The sequence below is a fragment of the Homo sapiens genome, chromosome 12 (assembly GCF_000001405.40).
Source record: "Homo sapiens chromosome 12, GRCh38.p14 Primary Assembly".
NCBI lineage: Eukaryota > Metazoa > Chordata > Mammalia > Primates > Hominidae > Homo > Homo sapiens.
Genome location: NC_000012.12, coordinates 89,083,064 through 89,090,942, shown reverse-complemented (window position 1 = coordinate 89,090,942; position 7,879 = coordinate 89,083,064).

Below are 7,879 nucleotides of genomic sequence, written 5' to 3'. Positions count from 1 at the left end.
ACACTTTGCTCTTTAGAGATTTCTTCTGCCAGATACCCTAAATCATCTCTATAAAGTTCAAAGTTCCACAGATCTCTAGGGCAGGAGCAAAATGCTGCCAGTCTCTTTGCATAGCAAGAGTGGCCTTTACTCCAGTTTCCAAGTTCCTCATCTCCATCTGAGACCACCTCAGCCTGGACTTCATTGTCCATATCAGCATTTTGGTCAAAGCCATTCAACAAGTCTCTAGGAAGTTCCAAACTTTCCCACATCTTCCTGTCTTCTTCTGAGCCCTCCAAAAATGTTTCAACCTCTGCCTGTTACCCAGTTCCAAAGTTGCTTCCACAGTTTTGGGTATCTTTACAGCAACACCCCACTCTCTGGTACCAATTTACAGTATTAGTCAGTTCTCACATTGCTAATAAAAACATACCCAAGACTGGGTAATTTTTAAAGGAAAGAGGTTTAATTGAATCATAGTTCAGCACAGCTGGGGAGGCCTTAGGAAACTTGCACTCATGGCAGAAAGGGAAGCAAACATGTCCTTCTTCACATGATGGCAGGAAGAGAACTGCCAAACAAAGGAGAAATATCCCCTTTAAAACCATCTGATCTCACAAGAATTCACTATCATAAGACCAGCAGCATGGGGGCAACTGCCCCTATAATTCAATTACCTCCCACCAGGTACTTCCCGTGACACATGGGGATTGTGGGAACTACAATCCAAGACGAGATTTGGGTAGGGACACCAAACCATATCAATACCTAAGAGAGGAATTACTGGGACAAGGGGGAACTCTATGTTTAACTGCCCAACTGCCCAACTGTTTTCCGAAGTTGCCATACCACTTTACATTCCCATTGGCAGTGTATGAGAATTCAAATTTCTTCACATCTTCATCAAAACTTGTCTGTTTGATCAGAGCTATTTCAATGGGTGTGATATATCACATTGTGATTTTGATTTGCCTTGTTGGTGGCTAATAAACAGATTTTAACAAATATTTATTCCTAGACCCCACCACAGACCTACTGGATCAGAATCTCTGAGAGTTTGGAGATGGAGAAATCATTTTTACTAAATTCTTCAGGTAATTTTGATCATCAAGGAGGCATCAGAACGGCTTCTCATTCTAACAATAACCTCAAAGGAATTGTTTTAGCCTAAGGACAAGGGATCTCTGTGTTGAAGATCAGAATTCCTTACGTCTTGTGACTTGATAGGGTAGAGTAGAAAATGTATTTCTTTTAAGACACACAGATTAAGGATTGTATATATCCCAAATGAAAATAACTCTTAAAGCCATACTGACAATTTTCCTACGAGCAGTAGATTTTTCAGTAGTGTGTATCCTTAGCAGAAATTTGATTTAGGAGTCTTCTGAGCCTGATTGCATGACTTTCTAGTTTATTTATTCGAATGGCTAGTCTGTAGCAGCTGTGATTTGGGTGCTTACAGAATACAGGAGCAATCATTTGGGTAGCAGTTTAAAAAACACACAATACCCAAGAGACTGGGTGATTTAGTGGATGTGTTCAGGGAATTAGGAAGTGGGAATTCTTGTCCTGACTCTAATTTATCTTGACTATTAGGCAAGTCACTTTCTCTTTTGTCTGAGTTGCCTCACCTAGTAAGACAGAAATAAATTACAGAAAATAAAATACTGACTTGAATAATTGTTTGTGTCCTGATGTCTACTCTTGGGAGCTCCCACTAAAATATATACCACTTATTTAAGAGTTTTCTACTTGTCATTTTTACTTGGCTTTGCATTAAATGCTTCCTACATTTCTCATTTAATCTTCATACCACCTGCCCAGGTAAATATTATTATATACACACTTTATAGACAAGGAAATTAACACTCTTCACAGCTAAGAAACTTGCTGAAGCATATACAAATATTATGTGTAGGGCTGGAATTGGAATACAGTTTGTCTCCAGAGTTGGCTTTGATTCCCCAGTTTTCCTTATAGAAAACAAAACAAAGAACCCCAATAACCTAAATGTGTAAAGAAAAAATAATCTATATGATCCACCATCCGGAGAGGAGTGGAGTTCACTTATGGTTTCCTGCTGTCCAATCTCTTCTATGCCTACACAACTGAAGGACAAACTTCAGTGGTAAAGTACATCTAGCAATCAGAGGACAAGCTAAGGGAGTAGTAACTGAATGGAGAGAGTACACATTTTGGAGTCCCACTGGCCATGATTTGAAACCTGGCTTAGCTGTGTGATTTTGGGCAAATTCACTTCTTGAGCCCCATTTTCCTCATCAGTTTAATGCTGGTCACAATAGCTACTCACAGGCTTGTCTAATGATTATAAACAATGGCTAAAGCATACAAAACACATGATAAATATTCAGTAATTGGAAGATAATCATAGTGTTTATTGACTGGATATAATATAACATTGGCCAAGTCACATTGGTTGCTTAGGTCAAAAATCTAGCAGTTATTCTGGATTATTTTCTTTCCCTTATAAACTGTATTCAATTCATCATCAAAAATTGTTGACTGCATCTTCAGAATATGTCCCCAATCCCTCCACTTTCTCTCATCTCACCACTACCATCCTAGGGAAGCCTCTCTTACCTTTCACCTGGAATCCCAGCAAGTCAGCTCCAGGCCTTTGGTCTTACCTCCCTCCTGTCTTTTCTTCACGTTGCAAATAGAGAGCTCTTTTGAAAACATAAACTGGCTTATATCACTTCCTCAATTAAAGTCCTCCAAAGGTTTTCCATTGCACTAGAGGAAAATCCAACTTCTTGTCCAGCCAACAAGGACCCACATAATCTCCCACTGCCCTCCTTTCTGAATGCATCATTATCACTTTCCTCATCCTGAGCCGGCTTCCTTTTTGTTTCTGAAACACCAGTTGGGGTCCTCTCAAGCCAAGTGTCTCAAATTCTTCACATTCTCCTCTCAGCCATTTGATGGCAGGCTTCCTTTGTTCATTTCAAAGGTATCCTCTTCAACAATATCTTTTCTTATCTCTTATCTAAAATTTTACCTCCACCCTACTCTTCCTCTATCCATTAACATGTTTTAGTATTTTTCATACCACAGATAGCATTTTAAAATTTGTTTATATGTAGTTAGGGAAACAATTACTTGTTTAGTACTGATAACTGGAGAAAAGAAGAGTTTGAAGGGATAATTTTAAGAGTACAACAAAATTTAGAGGAAAGAGAATGCAGTGGTCTGAATTCTAAAGTACATAAGGAGCTGAATTCCTCAGGCTGGTTAGAATCCCAAGGGTAAGGGCAAGGAGAGAGGACAAGAAAAGCTAGTGGGGTGATTTATGCTGAAAACGAAGGCAGGAAGCAGCTTGATGGGGCTTGAGACAAGGACCTGATTTGAAGACAGGGGTGTGATGCCTAGAAAGGCAGGTGGAAGTAGATTGCAGAGAGTCTCAAATGCTTGTCAGAGGCATTTATGAGCATTCTAGTAGCAAAGGACCTTTATGTCCTTTAGTTTCAGAGCTGGCTTCTGTTTTTTTCATATCGAGCAGCTCACACACAATCCCATGGGAGAACCTGTTGATTTAGAACTGTTTAAATACCAGTGATTTGCATTGGAGACTTTTTATCCTTAGGTAAACGTGTGTGCTAACAGTCAGACAATAATCCAGCCAGTAAGAATGAAGCCAGGCTGGCCTTCTCTGAGTTGGAAAATAACGAAAACAGGCAGGGCGTGGTGGCTCACATGTAACCCCACATGGCCTCACAGGGCGTGGTGGGGTTACACTTGTAACTCCAGCACTTTGGGAGGCCAAGGTGGGTGGATCACCTGAAGTCAGGAGTTTAAGACCAGCCTGGCCAACATGGTGAAATCCCTTCCCTACCAAAAATACAAAAAAATTAGCGAGGCATGGTGGTGGGTGCCTGTAATCCCAGGTACTCAGGAGGCTGAGGCAGGAGAATTGCTTGAACCTGGAAGGTGGAGGTTGCAGTGAGCCAAGATCGCGCCATTGCACTCCAGCCTGGGTGACAAGAGTGAAACTCTGCCTCAAAAAAATGTAAAAAAAAAAAAAAAAAGAAAAGAAAGAAAATAACCAAAACAGCTGGAAGAAAGATCACATGCACCTGTCGTGTTTGCTTTGGGACAGGCAATCTCATTCTGCAGTTTAGAAAAAAGAAACTTTTCACTCATCTAAGGAGATTTGCACTTCACAAACACACTTCCATTAGTAAAGTGATTATCATAAAGAAGGCAGAGTTTTCTCTTTTCAACAACAGGCCTACAGTACTTTGCTATGGACTGCTCTGATTATTAGGGGATTTTTTGGGAACATTTATAACTTCTTCCTCAGCTGTCCTTGTTCCTTCGGGGGAAGTTTATCTTATCATATCACTTAAAGTCTTGAAGAATCAAAGTGTATGGAAATCAGTGTGCCATGGAGGAAGTTTTCCGAACTTCAAAGTACAGATGCCTTGGGCATGGAAGGAACAGCCTGCCACCCAAGTGGTCGTCAGCATGTCTTTTCCCACCCTGCTTCCACCCAGCAGGCAGATTCTAGGATGTTCAGGGTGTTCCGAGACCATTTGGAAGCTAAAACAAATGTCTTCGCAGAAGCATTTCTTCTCATTTGGACAAAGAATAAGGGAACAATGTGGGTTGTTGAACTTGTATGTTTGGAGATGGAAGGATATTGGAAGCAGTTGCCAAATCCTTCCTTTCCTCAAGCACCTGTCTACCATGGGCTAGATCAGCCTTTAATCCTGGCTTTGAACATCAAGTTTTGACAACTACCACCCATCCTGCTGGAAACTGGCATTGTGTTTTTAATTTTCATTCTTTTGAGTCTTTTGGTTATGCTTGGAAGCACTGTGAAATCCGAGCCAATATGTGTGGAGAGGAAGATAGGGCAATATTTTATATATTTATAAATACACAAACAATAAACATAATATATATAAAACACATACATACATATGTACACATATCTACATGTATATATACATATATGTGTATGTTTATATATGTATATACTTATAATCTATTAGGCATATTATTTATTATTTTTCTGTATTATAAATATATATACATTATAGGTGTGTATACACATATAGACTGTGATGCGTGTGTGTGTGTGTGTGTATAAATAATTTTCCACAACCATTTGGACTCTCAGGAGTTTTCCTTCTTCTCATGTTTTTTCCATCAACTCTGCTAAGGTTGTTTAAATGGGAATTCTCTGACCCTTCCTTCTGACAGGATGAGGGGGACAGATGACTGAGCTCCAGCTATTCTCATGGTTGCAAGGCAGGAGACACCGCGACCTACAGGAAGCTTCCTCACTGGAGAAACATAACAAAGCACTGTCTGAGGCACTTCCGAAAGGGTGGGCTGGCTGCCCACAAGGCTGGGAATGGCAGCTTTGGCTTGGCTTGAGTTCATGGACATTTTCCTCTGGCTACCTAGGGAAGTTCTGCTTATAGTTCAACTTAGTAAGTGTACTACACCCTCTTCCCACAAACTCACGAGGAGGTGGGGGTAGGGATGCCACATTTTGTACCTAGTTCACTTTCGTGGGGTACTACTTTACACTTGAACATTGACTGTTTCAGTTCACAGTAGAAAGCTGAAGGGAGACAAAGTTAAACTCAAGAAAAGCATCTTCCTCTAGTAAAAGGTGCCAGGGAAGTTATTTACGGATGATGAGGAGGAGGCAGTGGAGATTACTAGCTAAATGCAGCATTTGGGTTATATGTGGATTATAAATTGCTGGATGTACAGATAGTTGAGAGTTGCCTGAACATCACAGACTCCAGTTGTAGATTTGTGACTTAAGGGTGACTGAAATAGGCAATGAGAATGACCCATGAAAGCCTTTCAAAAAGTCAACTTTTGCTAGTTCCATTAAGTAGAATTTTATTTTTCCTGCATAGCCGAGTATTTAGGACTTGGGTAATTCTCTCTGATAATGAATGTTTTCCCTACAGCTGGTTACATCCTTACAGCATGTGTTGGCTTGTGGTCCCTGGTGATGTAAGAGTGGGGGAAAGGCCATTAGCTGTGTAAGTTGAAGACCACAGATGTTCCCCGTTGTGCACTGGTTTTTCAGATGTAAATCTCGGTGTTCTGGGAGACCTGGTAGGAAGTTCTGGGAAATAATTCTGGGATAAAAGAAGTTTTAAACAATGCCCATTGCAAACACAAGGACACTGTAAATAAACCAAGTCTCCCATGTACTTCCCTTTCAGCCATAAATATATCTTTTCCTCTTCTGGATCTTACTGGGTTCTTCTTATAGGGCTTCTAGCCTACTGTGCCCTTGGCTGACTTAGTTTATCTCAACACTTCATCTAGTCTTTCCTCAATCACCTGGCCTTCCTATCACTCTTGTAGGATATATACTCCTTCCTGCAATTTTTGGAGGAACAGACATAAAGCCTTCTTTAGCTCCTCTTGGTACAAGAGTGGGCATGAAATGCAGCAGTCCACCAGGACCGTAATTCTCAAGGTCAGGGACGGGTTGTTCTCAATCCTTTCGTAGTTGATGAGAGTCTTTGAGATGACACTCAAGTTTGTCTTGTAGTATTCATGTTTGCTATATTATATTTCTGAGAACAAATAGAAGCCATTAGAAGGAAATCTCCCAACCTCCCCTAGGAAAAATAGCAATCTCTCTACCTCTGCACTCATGCTTTGCCCCTGGAGCACCTGCATCAGAATCACCTGGACTTGGTGTTGAAAAAGGCTAGACCTATTAATTCAGAAACCTAGAAGGTAGGTAATGTATGGGAATCTGAATGTTCATGAGCACACTTGCTGATTCTAATGTAGACTGAGATTGAAGAACTACTACCTCCACCTATCGATTATACTTTCTCTAATATATTTATCCCCTTCCATATTGGTTAAGATAAATGATCCTGGAGCTCTGACACTTACTAGCTGGGCAAGTTACTTAAACTCTGTGCTTCTATTTCCTTATCTATAAAATGAGGATAGTAAGAATACCCATTTTTCAAAGTTTTATAAGGAAGATTAAATGAATAAATATATGTAAAACATATACATATATTTGTATAAGGAATGTATGACCAACAAGATATATGTTGGCTCTTATTATTACCGAGTCCTTCCTCTCAACATTTAAACATATGTGAGATTCTGCTTTTTTTCTTTTTTAGGACTTTACTATTTTTTTAAATCCTCCAGAGACCTTTTATCTTTTTCTCTCTGTAGCCTCAGTAATAACCCTTTATCTTTTTATTATTTCCTCCAATATGTCCTGTTCCCTCTTCCCCACCACAGGGCTTTACTACACGATGAAATACGGCTCTCAACACCACCCTTTCCCTAGTTATTTTCTACTCATTCTCTATTGTCAACTCACTGGTCTCTTTTGTAGGGAACCTTCAGACTTAGCAAATGCCTCCCACTCTTCTGCTTTCAAATCCTGCATAGTATTTGTCAGATTTTTCATTTCACATTTATTTGTACAATCATTTGGTTATGCCTATTACCTCCACTACGCTGAAAGCTCTAAAAGGGCTGGGATCCTGCTAATTTTTGTCTGTAAATGTTTCCCCATTGCTGAGCATTGGGACTGGCACTTACTAGTTCCTTATAAGTCTTCGCCGCATTAATGAGTTGATAAGTGAATATGACTATTATAAATGAAAACCTTAAGCAGAAAACCAAGGCAGGACTGCTGGGAGTGCTTTAGCGTTGTTTAAAGAGTCCACCTGGCCAGGTGCGTTTACTCACGCCTGTAATCCCAGCGCTTTGGGAGGCTGAGGCGGGCGGATCATGAGGTCAGGGGATCGGGACCATCCTGGCCAACATGGTGAAACCCTGTCTCTACTAAAATACAAAAAATTAGCTGGGCATGGTGGCATGCACCTGTAGTCTCAGCTACTCAGGAGGCTGAAGCAGGGGA